Source organism: Homo sapiens, chromosome 12 (genome assembly GCF_000001405.40).
Source record: "Homo sapiens chromosome 12, GRCh38.p14 Primary Assembly".
Taxonomy (NCBI): Eukaryota; Metazoa; Chordata; class Mammalia; order Primates; family Hominidae; genus Homo; species Homo sapiens.
Genome location: NC_000012.12, coordinates 114230656 through 114256517, shown reverse-complemented (window position 1 = coordinate 114256517; position 25862 = coordinate 114230656). Strand labels below are relative to the sequence as shown.

The 25862-nt window shown below is 43.9% G+C and overlaps 1 long non-coding RNA gene across 1 annotated transcript, besides 2 other annotated features; it reads left to right on the top strand.

The window, feature by feature from the left end:
- Positions 14220-14514: an enhancer, noted in NCBI's record as "tiled region #11920; HepG2 Activating non-DNase unmatched - State 24:Quies, and K562 Activating DNase matched - State 3:PromF". NCBI's record gives its function as "activates a minimal TATA promoter and a strong SV40 promoter by Sharpr-MPRA in HepG2 and K562 cells {active_cell/tissue: HepG2 | K562}" and the evidence as "EXISTENCE:reporter gene assay evidence [ECO:0000049][PMID:27701403]".
- LINC02459 (long intergenic non-protein coding RNA 2459) lies at positions 14748-17547 on the top strand. Its single transcript, NR_146536.1, has 2 exons — positions 14748-14790; positions 17118-17547. It is a non-coding gene; the product is annotated as a long intergenic non-protein coding RNA 2459 (long non-coding RNA).
- Positions 17605-17815: a silencer, noted in NCBI's record as "fragment chr12:114676508-114676718 (GRCh37/hg19 assembly coordinates)". NCBI's record gives its function as "represses an EF-1alpha promoter that drives an FKBP-Casp9 reporter gene in an ReSE screen in K562 erythroleukemia cells {active_cell/tissue: K562}" and the evidence as "EXISTENCE:reporter gene assay evidence [ECO:0000049][PMID:32094911]".

The following is a 25862-nucleotide window of genomic DNA, read 5'->3' as shown; positions in this document are numbered from 1 at the left end:
AGTTTGTGGTATGAACATGTTCTGTGTCACCTCACCCCAGAAATATATGGGGAGTGGAGGAAAAATCTTGTTAGAGGAAAGATTAAATTCTCTTGCATGAATATTAGAAAAGTAATAATTGTTATAGGAAGAGGCAGAGTATGCAACCCTCCAAAAATGTAGAAAAAATATTAAACAGTGTGTCAGGCAGTTCATTAATAAAAACTTTGTGTTATTTTAATGGATTTTGTGCCATTTATGAGATTTGTGAGGTTTCAAAAATTTGTTGTAATCTCTTTTCTCATGCTAAATAAATGGCTACTTTTATACCTAATTTTGCATCCATAATTTTGTTTTCTTTTCCTTAAGTAGCCTTCTGAATAGTATAAACTTTAAGCCCCCCAACCCAGAATATGACCTTGGGTATGGGGAGGGCACAGTGGAACATGAAGATAAGACAGTAAGACACATTCTTAAGAATTGTATTTAGTAGAATTTTTATTTTACAGCAGAATGGATGGATACTTTAAAAATTCTCTATGACAGGAATTGATAAACTACAGTCTGTGGGTCAAAGTGGTCTGCTGCTTATTTTTGTAAATAAAGTTTTATTGAAACATGGCCATGCTCACTTGTTTGCATGTTGTCTATAACTGCTGTCACATTACAATGGCAGAGTTGAGTAGTTGCAAACAAAATCATTTGGCATACAAAGCTTAAAATATTTACTATTTGGCCCTTTATAAAGAAAGCTGACCCCTGCTCTATACCATGGACTCCTCACAGAGGGCTAATGACAGGTCAAGCCCCTAAGAGGTTTGGTTAGTGTCTTGCCCATATAGCTGTCATGAAGAGTCATGAGGCTCTCTCATGGACCACACCAAGCCAGGAAGTGTCCCACTAAAACCGCTATTTTCCATTCAAGCCTTGGTTATGTTCCTTCTGTCCTGCTCAATAAATTTGACGGCTCCCCAGTGCCCACGGGACTTTAGCCAGGCATTCGCACTCTTCTCTGATCAGGTGACATCCCATCTCACAAATATCCTCCCGTTACCCTCCCACATATTCCCTCTCCTGACCCCAGGGGTCACGGTGGATATTTCTGTCTCAGTATCCATTGATCATAGGAAGAAAGTTGAGGAACTGGAGTCAGACCCTGGACTGCCTGCCTCCAAAATCTACACTTTAAACCACCATATTAGACTGCTGCACTGACAGAGAGTTGTTTATAAAATCCTAAGTTGCAGGTGGTGTCATGGCCACCCAGATAAAAACTATATTTCCCATTGTCCCTTGCAGGTATCCATGGCCATGTGACTAAATTCTGGCCAATAGGATGTGAGAAGGAGTAACATGTACAACTTCCTGGTTGTATTACCAAAGAGCAGGGGTGTAACCTCCACTTCCTCTTCCCCCTTCCCCTGAGTGAACATCAGCCTTCCTAGACCATGGTGGGGAAGACATATGTTGAGTTTGGCAGAGAAACTTAAGGCAAAGAGCCTGAATCTCCCACTCTGAAGAGCAACCCCAACACTGGATCACTATATTCAGACTATAACAGAGGAGAGAAATAAATTCATATCTTATTTAAGCCCTATTTATTTTGGGCTTTGCAATAACAGCTGAACCTCTATCTTGAACAATTATACCCATCAATTTTGTTTGTTTTGTTTTGATTTTCTGAAGCACGTTCCAGGAGAGGCTGGTACAATGGTCCCGTGGGCTACTAAGTCTTCGATGTTACTTGCAAGGCAAGGACGTGAACACCCCAAACTCTCCCAGTGCCATCCACTTTCACCAAGTAGCCACAGTTGCATTCTCAGATCTCAGATCCAGATCTCAGGGCAGCTGCCTCTGGAACACACCATTTTATCCAGTGCTCATTCCCTTGGCCAGGGCTGTATTACAGGCAAAATAAACACGGTTGACTGTTTCCATCGCAACTTCACGCTTTACAGGAAGGAAGTTGGATCTTGGACAAGGGACAGGTTTTCCTCAAGGGGAAGGGAACAGCCCTCTTTGGACCCTTCTTGAAGTGGATTAGGTTGGCTCCATCTCAGCTGAGATTAATAAGTGTCATGCTTCAGGACAAATAAACTTGGGATTTGCCTCATGGACTCTGCTTCTACTTGGCTGTTCTGGGGTCCTTCTTCCCCAGTGGTATCAGTGAAGTGTGGCAATAAGTGGAGTTGTGCAGGAAGGCTGTACTCTACCACAAAATGTTTTTTCCAACTCAGGGGTTACACTGCCTAACATTCTACCAGCAAGAAATGAATAACTTTGGCTTAAGCATTACTCTCTTCCTCCTCAGTCTTCATTTATGGGGAAAGAACAGCTGGCCCTATAAAAATAATTGGAGCTACAATTTATGTTGACTAGGTTTCAACTTCTAAATTCTGCACAGTGCTTGGTGGAGAAAGCCAAGAACAGGATCACTCCTGTTCCCCAGCAGAGTTTGGGAATGGAAATGCCTTTGAAAGAAGGAGAATGTGGGTAGCTCATTAGCGTCTCAGTGTGAATTGAACTAACAGACCCAGTTTTCCCAAGTAGGTGAATTTGCTCTTCTTGCTCAAGCCTGGAGGATTTGAAGACCATCATGTTATGGCATTTAAAGATTGACTTGATTTAAGCCCATGAAGACGTTCAGCATATTGTTTAGCCCACAACATAGGCTAAGTAAATTTTGTTGAATAATCCATTCAGGATTATTTCCCAGAAGAAAAAAATGCTGTCACAAATTGGATAATTTGAGAAGAATTTAATAAGACTACTTAATAAAAGTGTGAGTAGGATGTAGGGTTGCTATAAGTGTTAGGGAATGTTTTGTGAATAATAATAGCAAATTTGTGAGGGGAAGGGTGTCCTATGTTTAAAGAGATGAGAGGAAGTAGCAGTTATTGGAACTCATGGAAAAATTCATGTGAAGGTGGCTACTTGAGAGGAGTGATGACCCTTGGTCGAGGTCACATTCAGCCCAAGGCAAACTCCCCAAAGTAAACATCCCGATCTAACTCTATTCCTATTTTCCTACTTCCCAGTGGAGCTTCCTATTGGCTGAACCCAACCAGAAGCTAGTGTGCCTGGGAGCCCATTGGTGCTATCTACACAAGTTCACCTCCCAGGCACAGAACCAGATGAAGAAGGGTAGGGAGTAGACCTAGAGGGCACATGGAAAATATCTGTCCCAAGGAGATATGAGCAATGCTCAGATATTATTAGAACTTCTTGAAATGACTACCATTCAGCAGAACCCCTCCCACCATGATGTGTTCGGGGGTAGAAAGCCAGTCAAAACAATACTAAGTAACAATTATTGAGTGCTTGCTGCATGTTAAGCACTGTGCTAGACACTTTACGTATATTATCTCAGTTAATGTTCACAATAAGCTGATGAGGTAAGCCCTTTTCTCACCCCTGTCTTACAGAAAAGGAAACAAGGCATAGAGAGATTAGGTAAATTGTCCAAAGTCAACACAGTTAGTCAATGTTGCTGGTTGGGCTGTCTGAAAAGCCAATTCTAAGACAGAGTTTGTCATGCAGAACTTTGTATGAGAGGGTATTCTTAATGTCAGTGGGAGGGAAGAGGCAGAGGATGCAAGGGTAGGTGGAAGTTGAGCTGTGCCTAAGGCTCAAAAACTTACTTGACTGAATGAAGGCTCTGGAGTAAGATGGCCCTTTAAATTTGTCTCAAGTTGGGCCCAAACAGCCAAGCCTTTATACTCCATCTGTCATTGATTATTAGATGCTGATCACTCTTGGAAGAGTGTGATCATAGGCTCTCTGAAGCTGATGGGATCCCAAAGGGGCTGGCAGCTGAAGGCTCTCTGTAGCCTTCAGCTCCCAGCATCTAATCATCGCAGCACCCGCCATTGCAAGTGATAGAGTCAGGGCCCCCACTTCATAGAAACGGTGCTAAGCACAGTGCAGCACTTTCTTTAGAAGAAGATGCCACACAGTCACATCAACCCTCACGTGTGTCAGCTGCAGTCAGACGCTGACAATTACTTCATGGGGCAACCTCATCTGCAAAATCCATTTCCAACTTGGCGACCATTGATGGTTTCTTCCCATTTCTGGGCTGGCATATGAGACTCTGGGGTTCTGCTGAATGCGCTGAGTCATTCTTGGGATTATACTGAATTTTTGCATCTTGGGGTATCCCAGAACATTTTTACAAATCCATATATAGTTATCTACCATCTCTTCCTCTTCATTAAACCTGTTTAGCAGTCTCTTCGAATGCAATGGGCACCTTCTAAAATCAACGTGACTCATGGAAATTTCTTAGAAAGTGCCAGTTTGGTCACCAACATATATTCTTTCAATCAGGCCTAACAGGTTATTTTTCTTCCCCAGAGTTGGACTATATTGCTTTTTGTGTGAGCATCAGTGAAGCAATAGGCTTGACAAACTTCGGGGTCATGTTGTATTACAATAAACATCTTTAAACTCTTGAGTCATACTCAAACCCAGTGAGGATCACAAGAGGAGAGGCCCGTGCAAACAGAGAGCTCATCAGGTCCATTCCTCACTCTTGCCCACTCTGCTCTCAGAAGTTGACCACAATGGCCTAAGAAAGCTGGATTCCCTTGCCCTCTGGCTTCTGATTAAATTTGGCCAAAAGGAGTCACCAGCAGCAGACCAGATGCATTAAGTAATTCCTGTCTGTCTTGGAGAGTGGGAGGGAAGAAGAAGAGAGATATTTGTTCCCTCTATTCCCTGCCTGGTGGGCTGTGGTTTGGCAGTGGCTGCCTTCCAGTATGCTGCAGCTCTGGCTCTCTGTGGGTCCTGGTATCACTGTTCCCTTCCTGCCTCTTCCGACTGAGGGTAGTAACTGCTCCCCATTGTTAATAATCCCGGGGTTCATTACCTCCCTGTGTTGTTTTCCTTAATCCTGCTCACTTTTCTGCAAACCTTCTTCATTTTAACTCCTTTCAAACAACCCCTAGGTTTGTCATTGGTTTCCTGCAAGGACCCCAATTGATACATCTCCCCTCTTACCTTCCCACTGGGTGGACACTCAGTAAATAGAGGGGTGGGAGGAACCAACTGTACTATTGAATCTGCTTTTCTCTCTCTCTTTCCCTAACCACACACAGGAGAATTCTTTTAAATGTAATGCAGATCTGATCTGATTCCATTTAACTTTTTCATTTCCCACCTTCCTGAAAATGACAGTGGCTGCCTGGCTAGTCTTCTCTACCCAAGGCAAAGCCATTATAGCCACCTTCACACATATCACAAAAGAATTATGTAACTGAAAGAAAAAATATTTCACCCCAAAATATACTCTTTTTTAAAAAACATATTTTGAGACAGATGGTCAGAGGTCCTGCAAACAGAAGAAGGCCTATAAACCTGTCTTCTGGGAGGGGACATTTGCACTTGTACAGAAAATCTGCATTGATGCAGCCAGGTCTTCTCTGAGGTCTTCCCTTCTCTGAATCTAGGAAAGATGAACTGAGAGTCTGTATTAGTCCATTCTCACACTGCTAATAAAGATATACCCAAGACCGGGTAATTTATAAAGGAAAGAGGTTTAATTGACTCACAGTTCTGCATGGCTAGGGAGGCCTCAGGAAACTTGCAATCATGGCAGAAGGGGAAGCAAACACGTCCTTCTTCACATGGCAGCAGCAAGGAGAAGTGCCAAGCAAAAGAGAAAAAAGCCCCTTATAAAAATAACAGATCTCATGAGAACTCACTATCACAAAAACAGCATAAGGGTAACCGCCCCGATGATTAAATGACCTCCCACCGGGTCCCTCCCACAACACGTGGGGATTACAGGAACTATAATTCAGGATAAGATTTGGGTGGGGACACAGCCAAACCATATCAGAGTTTGACACTTTTTAAAGGTCTGAAAGGAACATCTGCCATCTATTTTCTCTGAGACCTGCTAACTGTGAGGTTTTATCTAAACAGCAGGAGCACCTATGATAGCCAGGCCTCCTCTTCTTCCCCTCCCATAATTTGTTGTGCCATAATCCAAGCCCCCATTCTTTCTATAACCTCAAGATAGTATATAAGCTACTATATCCTACTGGGGTGTTGTGAGTAATTACTCTGCAGTTCTCTCCTGTGTTCATGCTAATAAATTTGTATGCCTTCTCTCCAATTAATCTTCCTTTTGTCAGTTGATTTTTCAGTGAACCTTCAGAGAGACAAGGAGAAGCTTTCCCTTGGCCCCTACATAAGCAATGGATCTAGATGGGCCATATCATTCCTTTCTCAATGATAGCCAAAGTGTAATTTTGACATTCATAAATTTCAATGTTTATCTTGGTTTAAGAGTCAAGTTTCCCCTTCAGGAGAGAGGTGGTATAAGGTGGTTTAGATAGAGGTTTCTTGAGACAATTTATTTTGTGGCTCTGGATGAGTTTTATAATTTTTCTCTGCCTTGATTTCTTTGTCGGTCACAGGGATATTATGGTGATACCTACCTCATAGGCTGTCCAGAGGATCAATAAGACAATGCTTGTCAATCTTAGAACAATTTAAGGGCCAAAAAAGTGATCGATACTTCTTATTAATCACTAGTTACCCCAATGAGGCCTCTTTCTTCACTCAGTCCTCCTCCCTTAATAATTAAATTAATATTTGCATCTCTGCTGTGTGCATTGTTCCTAATTGCCTCTAGTGATGGGTACCTAACATTTATGCAGCTTAGACCAACATTGTTTGGACAGGAAAGTCTACTCCTGCAGCCCCTGAAGAAATATCTTGGGCTCAACACAGCCTTACTGTGGAGCACAGCCTTGACATGTGTTTTCTCATGGAACTGTCACTAGAACGATTTGAGGCAGGAGATAATACACCTAATTTATGGATAAAGAAACTCTAGCTCTAATTGCCAGCATTGATGAGAATGTGAAACAACAAGGGGCTCAACCAGTGCTGGTGGGTTGTAAATGGATGCAATCCACCTGGGGAACAGGATGGCGTTGCCCGCTGAGGCTGATTGTGCACACACCCTATAAGCCAGAAATCTGAGGCCTAGGCGTGTGCCTGAAAGACACTCTTTTGTGTATGTTCTGGGAGACACACAGGGCAATGCTCATAGTAGCATCATTTGTAAAGCAATGACTGGGAATCAATCCAAAGGTCTATCATCAGCCGAATGGACAATTAAAGTGTGGCATATCCACATACTAGAACACCAATCAACAGTGAAAAATGAATGTATTACAGCTGCATGCTTCAACAGGGGAAGACTCCTAAAGACATAATGTGAAGACAAAATGCAACTCACAGAGGGATGCATAAGCCCGTTTCCATATATATAAACTGCAGAAAAGCAAAATAAGGGCCATATATTGTTAGGAAACAGAGATGTGTAGTAAAATGAGAAAGAAAAGTAAGAGAATGATTGTTACAAAAAAAATCAGGGTAGCAGTTCCTTCTCAATGTGGGTGGGGAGGAAGAAGAATGCAAGGGAGGAGGGGCCCTGAGGGACATCTGAGATATTTCAGATGCTGTTGCATTGGTGTCCATTTTATCATTGCTCCTTAAATTGCTCGTTTATACTTGCTATACTCTTGAGAAAGGATGCTCTATTTCAAAATAAGACTCTAACCAATTCCCAAAGCTCAGAGAGGTGAAGCTGCTTGCCTTAAGTCACACAGCTGTTGTGTAGCAGATCCCTGGTTCTGGAGGCTCAAAGCTGAATCACTCACTCTTTCATCTCTTGGGTAGCGTAAATACAGAAGGACAAAATAATTGCTAAAGAAAAGGGACCCATAAACAGATGATTTATTTTTCATACAAGAAATTTATTGAGTAACTACATTGTGTCGGGCACTGTCCAAGGTGCTGGTGATTTAGAGGTGAAGGAAATGAACCGGGAATCTGCCCTCAGGCACTTGGCATTCTATGGTAGATGGAGGCTAAACAAATTTCATAAGTATGACACATACGTTTTTAAAAAAGATATAACTCATTGTAATACAATCATATGTCGCACAACGTTTAAGCACCTGGGAATCTGATTTGGGGGTACAAATGTACGTAGGTTTCTAGTCCTTTCTAAGATCAGCGTTTTGTTTATTAACTTCTTTTGGTACAGGTGATAAATCTACTTGTTCTGGCAGGTATTGCCTGTATTATTTGTGTGTTTATGAGCCTTCTGGCAATTTTAAAATGTCAAAGTAGGACTCATTTAAAAGCCATTTTAAGTTTGTAAAAAAAAAAAAAAAAGCATGTTTTACCCCACAAAATGCCATTATAAAAATACATAATATATGTATTTTCACATATATTATGTAAAGGAAGGATGAAAGGAACTCAGAAAACACAAAAAATACATATATTATATATTTTCTGAGTTCCTTTCATCTAGTTTCAGGTCTGAGAATGGTGCTTATTTTTTCTTGCATGATTGATCCCTCTTATGCCCATGACATTTCATTGCTTATGGCTTTATCAGTTTGGGGAAGAAGCAGATGATTTTCAGGGAGGAATCCCCCTGGACCTGGACAATGGCCTTTACTCCCACCTGCATGAGGCCAAACCTGACTTTCCTGGGTAATCCAATGAAGGGGTTGCAGGACAAAATCAGTGATCCATCAGCCTGGCTTAGTTGGGCTCATAGGGCTACTGAGAGGGATTCAGGCCCCACAGAGCTAAATATCCTAACTTTCCTCCCTAGAAGGCCAAAAAATAAAAATAAAAAATTAAAAAAAAATTTAAAAAAAAGATGCAGGATGACAAAGAACCCATCAGACTTATTGTTAAACACATCTTGCTCACAAAATCTCATATGTTCTAAGATGGGCATTATTGGGCCCATTTTACCTACTGAGAAAATTGAGTCTTGAAGAGGTGACTCAACTTGTGCAATGTCACATGGAGACACAATCAGCATCTGAACTCATGGCCATTGGCTTGCAGATTCAGAGCTCTTGAATGGTCATCCCCAGTGAAACAGCCAAGGTTCCAGGAAAGATCAGGACAGTCTCAGGAGAGAGATGGAAACCATGCCCTCTTCTTCACCCCATCCCCAGCCCTGAACCTGTTCCTGTGGGGCCTGGGAATTAGGTCAGACAAATCAAATATACAAAGTGTAGCCTTTGTTTGACTGTCTTATCTAATGTGCCTTCTCCCCCCATGGACAGCTGTGTCCTATCAGATGGGTGGGAGCTAGGGAGCCAGTTAGGGTCTGCCGCACTGTGAGACTCTGCCTGCTGGCCTTTGAATCTGCAGGAGATCAGGAGAGCATGGGACATGGGGGACTTAAAGACAAAGAGCACAGAGAGTGCTGTGTTGTCAGCAGCCTGCCTTGGACATCTTTTCCTCCATTAAAGCCAAAAGGATGAATGTGAACATCTTCTAGAAACCACTAATTTCCTGGAGATTAGAAATGAATGTCATGACACTTGATGAGCACCATCCAGGTGCCAGCCACCATGCCAACTGCATTTTCAAGTAGTGTCTTTGTAAACATCCGGATGCATATACTGTTATTACTGCCTTTGACCAGAAGACTGAAGCCAGTTGCCCAAGGGAAGCTACCCAGTTGGCTGTAGAGCATGGAATTGAAGTGGACTTTCTAAAAGTCCAGGGTTTCATCCCTCCCTCCCAGCTAGTGGGCGTTCCTTCAAGCCTCACCCAAAGTCCCTTGAAGGACGCCCCCCACACACAATATTTTTAGCCACCTGTGGTGTGGAGCGAGTGCCCATCTGAAGAGAAGACGTGGGAGTTCAGGCAAAAATTGAGAGCAGAAGGGAGGAAGGAAACAAGAGAATGCACCTTATTAATATTGAATTTAGATAATAGAAAAAAAGATAATACAGAAGTAGGAACATGTTCCTATATCTCCTTCTGTTTCCCTAGAGTAACTACCATTAACAATTTGTTCTTTATCCACCCAGGCCCTTTTCTCTACATCTATATATACAAAATGAGAGAGACCCCGAAACTATATATAAAATAGTTTGTGGGTATTTGAGCTGTGTAAGACCTTTAACCCAGAAACTATACTAGGAACCTGATTCTACAGAAACTCTCACATGTCTGTGAAAGGTACAAGCATATTCATTTTAATATTCTTTGTTGAAAGAATAAAAAATTAGGATAAAATATACCTCTATCAATATAAAATAGCCTGAACCACCCCCCAAACTATATATCCATAGATATATCTATATGGAAAGATAGATATATATCCATAGATGTATCTATATGGATAGATATATATTTATAGATATATCATATAGATACATATCTATCTAGCCTATGAATAACTATGGATATATAGTTTGGAGGGTTGGTTCAGGCTATTTTCTATTTTCTATAGATACATCTCTATGGCTAGACAGATATCCATAGATATTTCCATATAGATACATATTCATATAGATATATCTATTGATATATCTATGGGTATATAGTTTGGGGGTTAGTTTAGGCTATCTTCTATTGACAAATATATTTTTTCTAATTTTTCATTCTTTCAACAAAGAACATTAAAATGAACATGGTTGCACCTTTGCACCGTATATCCATTCAGATACACAGCTTAGGGAATTGGTTTTCCTTTCATTTCTATGTTTTTACATAAAAGAAAATATCCTGCATATATAGTTTTCTTTTTTCTTCTTCTTTTAGCTCTGTGTGCTGGATTAATTCTTTCTGCCCATGTATATCTATCTCTACCTTTCTCTACCCCGCTCTGCACCCTGGGGAACTGCATCATTACACTCCCTTGCTCTCTAGTTTCTGGCTGGGTTTGGCTAATGAGGCACCCCAGCTCCTCTTCCCCCTCCGGCCTACAGCGGTAACAGCTCCCTCATGTTGCTACACTGCCCCTTGTTGGTTTCTTTAAACCCTGCTCACACCTTTACAAATAGACCCTTTGTTTAACTCTTTTTAAATGACTCAGTTTAAATGTGCCATCAGTGTCCTTCTGGGGCCCTAAAGAAAACACTATATAATCTGAACATCTTCTCAGATTGGAACACGCAGGATGACCTCATTTCTTTAATGACTGCCTACTAGTCCAGAGTATGGATGGAGCAGAGTTTAGTCAGGCTATTTGCTATTGACGAAGATATATTTTTTTCCTACATTTTCATTCTTTCAACAAAAAATATTAAAATGAATATGCTTTTACCTTTGCATAGACATGTGAGAGTTTCTGTAGAATAAGGGTCCTAGTATATTTTGTGGGTTAAAAAGGGCTTACATGGCTCAAATACCCACAAGTAAAACTCCTCTTCAAAAAGAAGGTACAGGCTTACCTTTTTAGGGGGTCACTGGCATTTATCCAGAAACCGCAAGATTTTCAGAGATTGAACAAGAACAGGAGGACTGATCCCAAAGATGGTGGGAAAGAGGGTTCAGGGGATGCAGATGCCAGGGAGGTAACCCCAGCCTGGCTGGCTCTCATCTCTGGGGGCTGCTCCTCCATCCTTGATGCAGACAGCAGCACTGAGCATGGGGAGAGAGGTTGAAAGGATAGAGATAAATGCTAATCTCTAGTGTAAACAGTTCTCAGGGCTGGACACTCTCTGGACATGCCACAATCCCCCACTGGGAAGGAGATGAGATAGCTCGGGAGGCCAAAGCTGGATTGGGGTAAAGGAAAGGGAGATTGGGAGAGACGGGAAGAAACAGGGGCCAAGGAACCCATCATTTATGTGTCTGACAGCCATGGGAGCAGCCCGACTGGAGACAGAGGGAATCCTCGAACAGGACCGGGGTAGAGGAGAAAAGCCGGTCATGGTGAGGCATAAAGGGCAGCAGAGACCCTACCCTCATATATCACAGGGAGGCCCGGTCAAGGTACTGTTCAAGGGTGATGTGCAACCCATAAACCGATTAGTAATTTGAGCCAATGACCTTGAGTGTGACCTTAGCAAGTTACTTTCCTTCTATGGCCCTTCGTTTTCCCATCTGTCAGATTGGGGTTGTATTCCCTGCTTTACCTATGAGAGTAGAGACAATGCTCTTAAATTCCATGCTTCTAGGTGAAATCAGGTGAAAATAAAGAGCAGGATATTTCTTGAAAGACAGAAGAATTTCTCAAGGACAGGCAGAAAGGGGACAGGGTGGAAGAGGAAAAGGGAAGTTGTAGGCAAAACAGCACATTATTAAGTATGTCGAGGCTCATGCAGGCCTGGGGTTGAATCTCAGCTCCTTCATTTGCTAGCTGGGGGACCTTGGGCAAGTCACTTACCCTCTTGATTCTCTATTCTACATTGTTATAGGAGTATAAAGATGATAGCTGCCTCATAGAGTTATGAGAATGAAATGAGACCATTCATATAAACTGGTTAGCTCTGTGCTTGCCGCTTAGTAAATTCTTAGTAAGCATTGGGTATTGTCTCTACCCTAGGTATGGTGGCAGTACCTGGGCACCATGGTTAATGGCATTTTCCAATGGTGCCTGCAATAATATTTCTCATTCATCATTCTCTTCTGTAATGTTACCTTGTCACTTCCCCACCAAGAGGTGGAGCCTAATTCCTTTCCCTTGAATCTGGGCTGGTCTTAGCAACTCATGTATAACCAATGAAATGCAGCAGAAGTGACATAGTATAATTTCTGAGGCTGAATCAGAAAAGCTTCTGCAGCTTCCTCCCCATTCTCTTGGAACACATCTTCTCTAGATGTTCCCTGTTGGGATATCTGGAGCGCAGCTGCCATGTTGTGAGAAGCCCAAGCTACAAGAAGAGCCCACATGTAGGTTTCAGTTGAGCCTAGCATTCCAGGTATCCCAGCCCAGGCACCAAAGAGATGGTTAAGAGGTGGGTGGATTACCTGAGGTCAGTAGTTCAAGACCAGCTTGATCAACATGTAGGTTTCAGTTGAGCCTAGCATTCCAGGTATGCCAGCCCAGGCACCAAAGAGATGGTTAAGAGGTGGGTGGATTACCTGAGGTCAGTAGTTCAAGACCGGCTTGACCAACATGGTGAAACCCTGTCTTTACTGAAAATACAAAAATTAGCTGGGCATGGTGGTGGGTGCCTGTAATCCCAGCTACTTGGGAGGCTGAGGCAGGAGAATTGCTTGAACCCAGGAGGCAGAGGTTGCAGTGAGCCTAGATCGTGCCATTGCACTCCAGCCTGGGTGACAGAGCAAGACTCCGAAAAAAAAAAAAAAAAAAAAAAAGAAGCTTCCAGATGCTCCCAGCTCCCACTGTTCAAGTCACTGCTAGCCATGTGTCTTCCAAGCTGAAGTTCCAGATACTGTGGACTAGAGACAATTCATTACCCACCACGCCTTGTCTGACTTCCTGACCCATGGAATCTGCGAGCTTAATAAAATAATTGTTGTTTTACACCATTAATTTTGGGACCATTTGTTACATGGCAGCAGATAACTGGAAGGTGAACCATGAGCTGATAAGGTTCAGGCCCCTTATCGTACAAACTTGTCTAAGACCTCTTATCCCTGTTGTTGCCTTGTTCAGTTCTAGGAGCATAAATAGCCCCTATGCCCACCCCAAAGTATGTTGGGGATACCAGGGCTTGCCACCCCACTGGTCATATTCTAGGGGTCCTACCAAGAGGCTGGGCGTTTTCAGAATTTGCCTGGCAGGATAATATCTCTTTTTATTCCCTTCTTAGTCATGTTAGACCAGAGTCCTTAGACATGTTTATGGTGTAGCAGTGATACTGAAGGCAAGAAATACCACAAATGATACAAACTACAAAGCTGGGTGGATAATATGACATTAGAATAACAGATCCCAAAGGGCACCATCTCAGAAGGAAGTTTCATATAATAGGAACAAAAATAGGCTACTGTAACTGACAAGTGATAGTAATAATAATGGCAATAATAATTGTAGTAGTCAGAATTTTCCCTCGCAAGTGACAGAAAACCTAACAGGAGCTTAAGCCCCAAAGGCAGTTGCTTGGCTAAATGCAATAGGTTTAGTAATGGCTTGATCCAGGGACTGGGTCTTTTTTTCACTTTCTTTCAGGAGTGGGTGTTATTTTCTTTCTGCCTACATTTAGTCTACCTCAGTCCTGCTTTTCGCAAAGTAGTGGCTGCTCGCAAATCCAGGCTTACATTCTCATCTCCAATAAGAGAGCATGCTTCTCCATCAAAAAAGCCAGTGAAAGTCTATGACACATCTGTCTTATTGGTTCTAATGTGGCCACATGACATCTGTGACTCCCTAAGGCAGGGAGGAGCTGTGATTGGTCACCCTGAGTCACATGCCCATTGTAGCTGGGGGTGGAGTCACAGCACTTAAACTAACCTAAGGCAGGAAGGAGCTGTGATTGCCCATCCTGAGTCGCACGCCCATTGTAGCTGGGGGTGGACTCATGGCACCTAAACCACCCTAAGCCAGGAAGGAGCTGTGATTGGCCATCCTGAGTCACATGTCCATAGTAGCTGGGGGTGGAGTCACAGCACCTAAACTAACCTAAGTCAGGAAGCATCTGTGATTGGCCATCCTGAGTCACATGCCCATTGTAGCTGGGAGTGGAGTCACGGCACCTAAACCAACGTAAGGCAGGAAGGAGCTGTGATTGGCCACCCTGAGCCACATGCCCATTAGTAGCTGGGGGTGGAGTCACAGCACCTAAACCACACCCTAAGGCAGGAAGGAGGTGTGATTGGCCATCCTGAGTTACATGCCCGTTGTAGCTTGGGGTGGAGTCACAGCACCTAAAGCGCATGGACTGGAAGTAGAGGGAAGGGCAGTTTCCCAGAGGAAAACCAGAGTGATATCATTAGAAAAAAGAGTTCCTGCTGAGAGGCAAAGATTTACACATGCAGACCCCAGCCACTATTTACTGAGGGCTAGATTGTACCAGGCACTTTACCTGTGCTGTGATCATGTAATCCTGTCAAGTAAGTATTATCCCTATCTTGCAGATGAAGAAACTGACACTCAAAGAGTGTCTTGCTTAAGGTCCCACGGTGACAGAACTGAGATCAGAACATGGTCACCTGACTGCAAAATTCGTGCCTTTGCCCCTCTATGCCCCAAAGTCCTCCATCTCTTTTTTATACCAGAAAAAAATACACAAAAAACCCCAAAACACGTGTGATGAATGACATTCTCACATACAACCTGTCCTGTGGGGTTAAACTCAATTCCTCTTGTGAGACCTCTATTCGACCCTTCTCTCTCCCACTCCAGTAAGCATTCTAGAATTCAAGATAATAGAAATGAGGTCATTAGAAGACCAGCCTTAAGATCTTTAATTTTTATTATAAAAAATTTCAAACATAAACAAAGTAAACAGAATAGTGTAGTGTATTCCTCTCCCTGTACCTTCTGCCAGCTTCAGCAATTACCAGCATCTGTATTGTCATATCTATTCCTTCCCATACTCCTCACCTTTCACCCGATAATGACATTGATGATGGTTTTCATAGATATGTGTGGTTTTAAAATTTTACTTGAATTTTTTTTTTTTTTTTTGAAGTACAAGGAGTTACCTTTTGTGGGGAAGTTAAGTTCCAAAATCAGTGAGAAAGGCAAAAACCATACATGCACAAAATACTCCTTTAAGCACCATTGTCCCTTGAGTATAGCAACAGTTTGGTATTCGTTCATTTGAAGGGGCCGGATGAAATGGCTGCCTGACATTTGGGGGCATTCTGTACAAAACACTATCATCTTAATCTCTAGGCTCAATCTTAGCACACAGGGACCAGAGAGAGCCAGGAGATCCTGTTCCCATCTGGTATCTCATACCAACTTTGGGGTACGTGCTCATTAAATGAAATGATAGGCAGATCAACACCCTTGCTATTTAAATTATCTTCTTCTCCCAGCTCTGTTTCCTAACAGTACAAATATAAATGGACGATACCATTTCACCCTCAAAGTCTTTCAAATTATGGTATGTGTTTGAATTCCCCTCCAATGCTGATAGCTTGTGACATGTGCTGTGTGCTTGGACCAAATCCACATTATGCAGTAAGCGCCCCATATGCATTTCAGCTGTGACAACTCTGGTGAGAGGTCAGCTCAGAGGGAGCAGGTTGCAGCTGCCTACACCCCGAAGCCTGCGGCATCCGGGGCTCTCCTGCCTTGTGCCCTCTGGATCGTACTCACCTGTGGCCGTGGACCTTGGGCCTGGGAGGATAGCGGTGAGCCCACCTCCCACGGCTCGCCTTCTGGGGCCGGCTGACTTGCTGGGCCATTAACCAGCAAAGCCGCAGCAGCAATAAAATTAATTTCCTTCCTAATATATACAAGACTTTCTGCAGGAGAATTATGGACCGATTTGATCAAAGTGTGTAAGTGGTGTGCTTATGCTATCAGTTTCAACCCCTTAATGCCCTCCTGTCAAAACAAAATCCTCAAGAAAGGCTTTGAGGGGAATCACATGGGCATAATGGCTTTCCAAAAGAGAGCCCTAAGTACTTGGTAACATATACAGAGCCGACTATTAGATCGGCTGGTGTAATTGTCCTTATATTTTAATGTAAACACGCTTATATTAGCCGGGCACTTCATCCCTCCACAGACATGGAGGTGCAGGATGAGCGGGGGAAGGGAAGATGGCTTTAGTGGGAACACCAGCCAGGGGAGGAGGATGTCAAGGCGGAGACATGGAGAGGAGGTCAGGGGGCGTGAAGGGGAGGGGGATTCTGAGGAGGCAGGCACAGGCAGATGGAAGAGTCCTATCTGGCTTTTATTAATAACACGAATGCCTGGCTCCTGGGTGGCACTTTGAACTTCTGTTTTCCCCAGAGAGTTTTCCCATCCAGGTTTTGCTTTGCCCTTGAGGCAACCTCTGCAAGATGGACTGGGAAGGAGAAGGACTCATTTCATGGATGGGTAAACTGAGGTTCAGAGAAGGCTTTTATGTCCCAGCAGGAAATAAATGCACAGTCAAAATGGGTGAGAGAGGGTGGAATGAAGGGGTCATTACAACGCTGTGGGACTGGGTTTAGGGAATTGACAGGGATGGCAGAGAACCCCGAGGCTAGCAAGGGGGAAAATTACTACCACTTTGAGACCTAAGGGACAGGGTTTCATAGAAGGTCCAGAACCTGGTAAGGATGAGAGTTTAAGAGAGGACTCCCTGGAAGAAGCTGCAGCCTTTCATAGAGAAAAGCAGCCACTGCTAAGTCCATGTAGGGCCGGCATGGAGGGAGCCAGGGAATAAGTACCTTGATCTCTCTTTTCCCTCCCGCCCTGCTCTCCTAATTTCCCACAGGCAAAACCCAGCAGGAAGATAGAAGACAATAGAGCCGTGATTTTGACCCAGCCTCCCAGGACACAGATGGGGTGAAGAAATCAAAGGGGCAAACAGAATTTGCAGCCCAAGTTTCGAAGGGGCAGTTGGGAGACATCTTTAGGCTTTCTGCAACCAAGCCACCGTCTTCCACACAGCAAGAGACAGTTACTCAGTGGAGGAATAAGCCTTCAGTTGCATACCGCTCTGTGCATTGGATGGGAGGATTTTGAAACTTTTGGAAGCTCCATACTGTGGCTTTATTCCATGAATCCACCAGCGCTGTGCACCAAAGTTTCTCTGTGGAGGGAGAACATATTTTTGCAGAGCAAGTACAGATAAGAGGTTGGGTGCCTGAAGCCTGGATAATAATAGAATGACAGCTGATGATTCATCAGTGCTCTTCAGAGCCAGCTGATAATACGTTGCCAGCCTTTCCCCTTTGCTCAGACAGAACAGCCACCCTCACCCACGGGGATTCCTGCCCAGAAGGAATTTCCACAGCCCTGTACCAAGCATGCTTAAAGTGGCTGCCATTTATGTGGGGTTTCCATGTGCCAAGGGGCACGCCAATGGTCCTTTACATCAACTCACTTAATCTTTATATCCTCATGACCGCCCCAGGAGATACATAATAACATCTACATTTTATAGGCAGAGACAGAAGCTTGGCTCAGCATAACAGAGAGGGAGTGTGGAGCAGTGGTCAGGATCACAGCCAGTAAATCCAGATGACCTGGGTTCAAGTCCCAGTCCTGCCACTTCCCAGCTGTGGGCTTTTGCACAAGTCACATGGTCTTCCTGTGTCTCAGCCCCCACCCCCCCATCTGTAAACAAAACAACACTGTAAAATAACAGTGTCTACCTCATGGGGATCTTGCAAAGATCAAATAAAGAGCTTTGAAGAACATCTGACTTATAGTAAGCTCTGTGTGAGCATTAGCTCAGAGATAGTTCTCATGTTAAACTAAATAAGTTGCCCAAAGTCACATAGACAGAAATTAGCAGTGCTGATTGTGCAAACCTGCATCCTGAAGTGAGGCCTTGGAACCAGGGTTGTCCTGGAGCTGGTTTTACCAGCTTGCAAGAGCCAACTGTTAAATTCTCAGGACTTCTGTGAACCAGTTGTTAAACACAGACATTATTAAAAATTAAATTATATCAAGTTTACAGTTAAATAAATTATGTTAAAGACAAAGGTAATACATACTCTAAATGTATCACTCCTAACGTATCACTCGTTTTTGAGGTCATTTACACCTGCTGTATCTGTGTGGTGGAAGTCCTATATAATGAGATGCTACATACCATCTATTCCTAACTGTCGCATGACGTCAGCCATGCTGGGATTATTTACACCACTGAAACTGGCAAATACTACAAATCAGACCACTTTTCTCCTCCAAGAGAGGTAGTTGTTAAACATTTTACCAGTACATCATTGCCTAGAACCGGAGCCTCTTTACGTCTCATCTGAAGCTTTTCCTGTCACTCGGCAGGGCATGAGTGGTGAGTGGAAAATACTTCCTACTTCCTAGACTCAGGGCCACTCTCATTTGGAGGGTGGGTGGGCATCTTGCCCTGACATCATCTCATGCCAGACGAGGAACTGGGAATATTGTAAGGGAAGCTTTCAGTGACCCCTGCCTTGTATGACATCTGACTGTTAGGGCCATAGTTTAAAATGTTTCTTGAGAGGGCAAGAGTCATGAGTGGGGCAAGCAGGTAGCCCATTTCTGGGCACCACCACCATCCTTCACTCAGCATCCTGCCCCCACTTCAGGCAAATTCCTCAGCTAATGATAAGCGTGGCTCCATCTCAGAATTTTCCCATCGTGCTGACAGTTTTAAACCAATGGATTTATGAACTTTAAAGTAATAGAAATATTTAAGGCAGACCTATTTGCCTTATCTGCAAAGACAGGAACACTCCTCTTCAGAGGGGGGTGGGGAAGTAAACTCATAAAAGGGAGCGATGTTGTTGAACTCTGCCTGCAGGAATGGGAGGGAGGGGCCCTCTTGATGCCCAGATGCTCTCATCCCTGCCGTCCCCTAGGCCTACTTCACCAGCCTTCCTGCCAATCCGGGGTGCTGCCAGAAATTCTCCCAGTAATTCTTTTTCTTGTCAAGTTAGTTAGATTCAGTTTCTCTTGTTTGCTTTCCATTACCCTGCTGAATACAAAGATCTTGATAGAGGTGATGGTTATAATGATGGCTAACATTTATTGAGTATCTATTATATGCCAAGCACCGTGTGCTAAGGACTTTATACGCATGATTCCATTTAATCCCCTGGAAGAGGGCTGGAGGTCAGGGTGGGGGGTAAAGATCCAAGTTTTGTGGGGCCTGAAGCTTATTCAATTGGAATAAGAAAAAAAAACATGAAGTTACCATTTGTAAAATTAATTTTAATTTTAAGTTCCAGGGTACATGTGCAGGATATGCAGTTTTGTTATATAGGTAATTGTGTGCCATGGTGGTTTGGTGCACCCATCATACCTAGGTATGAAGCCCAGCATGCATTAGTTGTTTTGCCCAGTGCTCTTCCCTCCCAACCCCACCCCCCAACAGGCCTCGGCGTGTGTTGTTCCCCTCCCTGTGTCCATGTGTTCTCATTGTTCAGCTCCCACTTATAAGTGAGAACATGTAGTGTTTGGTTTTCTGTTCCTGTGTTAGTTTGCTGAGGATAATGGCTTCCAGCTCCATCCATGTCCCTGCAAAGAACATAATCTCATTCCTTTTGATGGCTGCATAGTATTCCATGGTGTCCCCCTGACCAGGTCCCCCTGCTGCTGGCGACACAGACGCTTGCTTGCTGTTCTCTGGTCCTGGACGCCTGAGGCCTCAGCCTCCCCAAGACAGCCCTTCCAGATTCTCAGGACTGCCTTGCCCTCCCTGCCCTGCCTCCTAGGTGACTCTGGAAAAGATGAGAGTACACATTTTCTCCTGCCTGAATGTGTACCACATTTCCTTTATCCAGTCTATCATTGATGGGCAAAATTCCATTTTTTTGCAAAACCATGTGACCCTGTGGAAGCATCTCTAGAGCCCCTCATGGAGTCTTGAAGGAACCTGTGAGGGTAAAGGGTCCTGAAGCTGAATTTTCATGATCTTCATTTTACAGAGGTGGAAACTGGGACCCAAAAGGGGAAAGTGATTTGTTCAGGTCAAATGGTTTCCAGTGGTGGAGGGAAGATTTGAACCCAGGTCTGACTCCAGAAGCTCTGCTCTTACCCATGACTTCTTAGAGACTTCATCACCTTACCCTTTGCTACCCAGCTGGCATTTCCTCCTGGTTCTTCAACAGCTACCACTTGGATGGGGACTCAGCTTAGCCTCACCCCTGTCTTTGATAGTACTGTTTCCCTTCTGGTCCTCCTCTGCACCTATACAAATCCTATTTATTCTTGGAGATGCCACTCAAGTTCTTCTCCCTCTTCCTCATCCTATCTTTTCCTATTTCTCTTCCTAGAAATAAAACCCAAATATTCCAGCCCTCCCCAAGCTGCCCTTGCCCTGAATGTCTCTTGACCCCTACAGCTTAGCTTTAAGCATCCTGTGGTTTTTTTTGTGTGTGAATCTCATCTCCCCCACCCCAGGTGTGTTGTTAGATTGTCCAGGAGGACAGAGTCTTATATCTTTTCTGCATACCTGAGAGTCCGTTGCTCCATTTTCCTTACCCCTTTATTTTATCAGTATTTTCTGAGCATCTCCTAGGTGTCAAGCACTTGTTCAGCACTGGGGATTCAGACATAATTGGCACAGTCACTGTGCTCAAAGAGATGACACATTCCATACAGCTAAAGTGGGCTCTGATGGCTCAATACTAGGGGCTGTGGAAACTCAGAGTGGGAACCTCTGACCCAGGCTTCGGGTCACAGGAGGCTTCCTGGAGGAGGTGACATCAAAGTTGATGTCTGGATGAAGCATAGGGTAGCCAATGGAATACTAGTAGAGGAAATAGCACAAATACCTAGAGGCAAGCGAGAGTGTGGTGAGCATGGGGATTAGATGTTCCTGGTGGCTGGGGAGGAGTGGTGGGTGGGGAGTGTCAAGGGGTGATTGAGGCCAGGAGAATCAACAGGGGGCTGGGTCAAGGTGGCCTTTGTATGTTTCTCTGCAGACTGTGGACTTGATTCCAAGGGCTCTGGACATTTCAAAGGCCAGCAGTGTTGTGATCGAACCAGTCACTCTGGTTGCAGAGGATGGATTGAAGCAGTGGAAAACAAGGACAATTAGGAGATTGCTGCAGCAATGCAGGAGAGAGACAGGGGCTTGAGCTTGGGAGCTGCAGTGAGGCGAGGAAAGGTGGCTGGGCTCTCTGAGCCCTCTCCTACTTCTCTCCACCACATGCACCTTCTCACCCAGCCTCCAGCATACAAAGCTCGCTCCTGCCTCAGGGCCTTTGCATCTTCTGTTCCCACCACCCAGAACTGATCTTCTCCTACATGTAACCATGCTCCCTCCATCCCTTACCTCCTTCAGGACTCTGGTCAAATGTCACCACCTCAGAGAGGTTTCCCTGACCACCCTTCCTTCCTAAAGTAGTCCCTCCATACCTCCCACCTTTCTAAACTCTGGCTCTGTTTTACTCATTTATTTATAGCCCTTGTCACTACCTGACATGTTTATTTACTTCCTATTTCCATGACCAGAATGTCTGGGGTTTTGTTTGTGTTGTTCAGCACAGACGCCCAGCACAGGAATGGGGCTGCACACACAGTCGACATTCAGAAAATACGCATCTGATGAACAGTTACATTCACTATATGGCAGGCAGGGCTCATGGATGGAGTGGTGGTTGATTGGATAAGGGGGTGAGGGACTGGTAGAGGGGATGCCCTTGCTGTGCCTGAGGAGGAGAATGACAGGCTCCATTTGGGATGTTTTGAAGTTTTAGATATTGGTAGAATGTTCAAGTGGAAATATTGTATTAGTCAGGGTGCCCACTCAAGCTAACAAATAGAATTAACCATTATAGACCTCAACCAGGTTCAAGGCTGAAATTGCAAGGTCTGAGCTGGAGGTACAGACTTGGGCCTTGTCTACAAATTGATGGAGTATCACCCAGGGCCTAGGGAGGAAGCATATGTTTATTCAAACTGGGCAGCTGAGAAGAGTTTAATGAAAAGATGGCCTATAAGAATATGAACAGAGGAAGGAGACCCACGAAGGGGTGAAGAACCTTGGGGCTAGCAACAGTGGGGTGCCTATGCCACCTGTATTGATCAGCGTTCTCCAGAGATACAGAATCAGTGTAGACTATCCATCTATCTATCCATCTTTCTATTCATCCATCTATCCATCTATCCTTCTGTCTATCATCTATCCACCCATCTGCCCATCTATCCTTCTATCTCCAAATTCATCCATCTATCCTTCTATGTATCCCTCCTTCTATGTATCCATCCATCCATCTATCCTTCTATCAGTTCATCTTCCCTTCTATCCATCTATGCTTCTATTTATCATCTATCCATTTATCTACCCATCTTTCCTTCTATCTACCTATCCATCCTTCTTTCTATGTATCCAAACTATCCATCCATCCATCAATCTGTTCATCCATCTATCCATGTATCTACCAATCTTATCCACCCATTTATCTGTCTATCCTCTACCTGTCTTTTATCCGTTCATCTATCTTTCTTTCTATCCATCTTTCTATCACTCTATCTATCTATCTACCCATCTATCCTTTGTCTATCAATTTATCCATCTATCCACCCCTCTATCAAGAGAGTTATTTCAAGAAATTGTTTTATGATATTGTGGGGGCTGGCAAGTCTGAAATCTGTAGGGCAGGTGGACACACTGGAAACTCTTGTGCAGGAGCTGATGCTGCAGTCTTGAGACAGACTTTCTTCTTTCACAAGGAAACCTCAATTTTTGCTCTCAAGGCCTTTCAACTGATTAGATGAAGCCCACACATATGATCAAAGACAATCTCCTTTACTTCAAGTCAGCTGATTATAGATGTTAACCATATGTACAAGATACCCTCACAGCAACACAGAGCTTAGTGTGTGATTAAATAACAGGGATTATAGCCTGGCCAAGTTGACATAATAAAATGACGATCACACCATCCTGAGTTTGGAAGGGAGAAGGGGAAGGGGAAGGGGTGGTTACCAGGGTCTGGCCAGAGCTGTAGCTGCTCTCAGGAAGAGGGGCTGCCTGCCTTTGGAAGAGGGGCCTAGCAGGGAGGGAGCAGGGAATAAACACCCAGACCTTCCTATCCTCCCATCCTCTAGTCTCTTGCTGGTGCCTCCCAACCTGAAGCCAGAGGGCAAGGGAGTCCGTTGATGTGTCCATGCAGCCCAACTTTTTGGGCACAGAGCAAGGGGAGCAGGATGAGGAGTGGATCTGGAGGAGTAAATGGGAAATCTCCAGCACAGTGATAAGGAGAACAATGGGAATCACCCAGACCCAATATGCAAAATGAGGAGAGACAGACCAAGGAAGGAGCCTGAGAAACTTCCATGGCCAGTGAATGGAAAACATTCACAGTGGAAAACAACCCAAAGAAGTTGGAGAAGGAATGGCTAGAGGCTTGCAGAAAATCCAGAAGGATTTAGAAGAGGGTGAGGGCATTGGGAGGCCCAGAAAAAAAAAATCCGGAATGAAACCATGGGTCCAGGAGTCTGGGACTGTGCAGTGACTAAAGGCAGTCAGATAAAGGACAGGCAGAACAGTGACAGCCATATTCTGAAGGGCCATGGGAACCGAGACCAGAAATGTCCTCCAGCTCACAGGGCAAACTTGGAGCCCCAAATAGGAAATTAAGGAGATCAGGAGCATAGACACAGGAACAGAGGTTAGGAGAAGAGAAGAGAGTGGATTGGTGGATGGGTGTGTGGATGGATGGATGGATGGATGGATGGACGGACGGACAACAGGTGCATGGATAGTTGGATGGATGAGTAGATGGTTGTATGGATGGATGGGAGAGATTAGATGGAAAGAATGAAGGAAAAAAGGAAGAAAGAAAGAAAAAAGGAAGAAAGGGAGGAAAAAAGAAAAATGGAGGAAGAAAAGAGAAGGAAGAAAAGAAGAAATAAAAAGAGAAGGAAGGAAGGAAGAAAAGAAGGAAGAAGAGGCTTCATATGCCATTTTCCAGGCATAATCCTCATACCTTTAGGTGCTCTGCTATTCAATTCTTATAAGAGTCCTGTGAATTTATTTATTGCCATTTTACAGGTGGAAGTTGCAATGAGCCTAGATGGCATCACTGTACTCCAGCCTGGGCAACAGAGCGGGACTCTGTCTTGAAAAAAATAAATTAAATTAATCTATTAGATCTGTGTGGATCAGCAGGCTTGACTACACATGCTTCACTTTGGGCCAACATTCCATCCACCCCACCCCCACCAAAAATACATTAAAAAATCTTTTAGCTTCTCATTGAAAGAACTGACAACCACACAACAGCTTAAGATGGTTTTCAGAAAGGCACGAAGGACATAACTTACAGTTCCTAGGAGACATGGCTTTGGGTCGGTAATCAATACCTACTGTGTGAGTTTAAGAAAATAGCTACTAGCAGACACCCTGATACTGCATCTATTTAATAAAAATGTGTTCCCCATTACTACGATTCTCCAAACATAAAAACGCTGTCGGCACTTCAACAGGGCTTCCAACACCGAGGCTGCTGCATGATGTACGGGCTTCCTGCCTCTTTGTGGCTTCTTTGTTTGGGGTTCTTTGTTTCCTGCCTATAGGTACCTAGAGGCTTAAGCCTGAGGCCCCAGACATTAGATCACAGAACTGGGAATCTCAAAGCCAGAAGGTACCTTCAGGGATGGGGTTACTGGTGTGATGTAGAGAAGGAACACAGTATTTAGAGCCGGATTATCATCTAATTCATATTTGTGTCTTTAGCATTAAGTCACTTAAATATTCATGCATTCATATAATCTAGGGGTGTCCAATCTTTTGGCTTTCCTGGGCCACATAAGAAGAAGAAAAATTGTCTTAGGCCACATATTAAATACACTAACACTAACAATAGCTGATGAGCTAAAAAAAAATCACAAACAATCTCATAATGTTTTAATAAAGTTTACAAATTTGTGTTGGGCCACATTCAAAGCCATCCTGGGCCACATGTGGCCTGCAGGTTGGACAAGCTTGATATAGTTGATCATTCATCCATTCAGTTATTTATTGAAATACATGTTGGCAATGTGGCAGATAGACCTGAATAGCCCCCATGATCCCCAAGCCCTGACATTCATGCCTTGCATAATTCCCTGCTCTGAGTATAGGTATAACCTATGACTTCCTTCTAACCAGTAGAATATGGCAAAGATGAATGCATTTTGCAGATTAAGCTGCTAAATTAGTTGGTTTTTGTATTACAAAAAAAGGGAGATTATCCTGGATGTGTCTGACTCAACCAGGCAAAAGCTTTGAAAACATGGCCTTCCCTGAGGTCAGAGGCTCTCTCTCTTACTGACCATGAAGAAATGAGCTGCTACGAGTTATATTCAGCACAAGGAAATGAATTCTTCCAATCGCCTAAATGAGCTTGGAAGCAGATTCTTTCCCAGTCAAGTCTCCAGATAAGAACACAGCCCAGCTGCCACATTGACTGCAGTCTTGTGAGACCCTGAGTAGGAGACCCAGCTAAGCTGTGTTCAGACTTCTGAGCCAAGGAAACCATGCAATAATAAATGTGTATAATTTTAAGATTCTAAGTTTGTGGTAATTACACAGCAATAG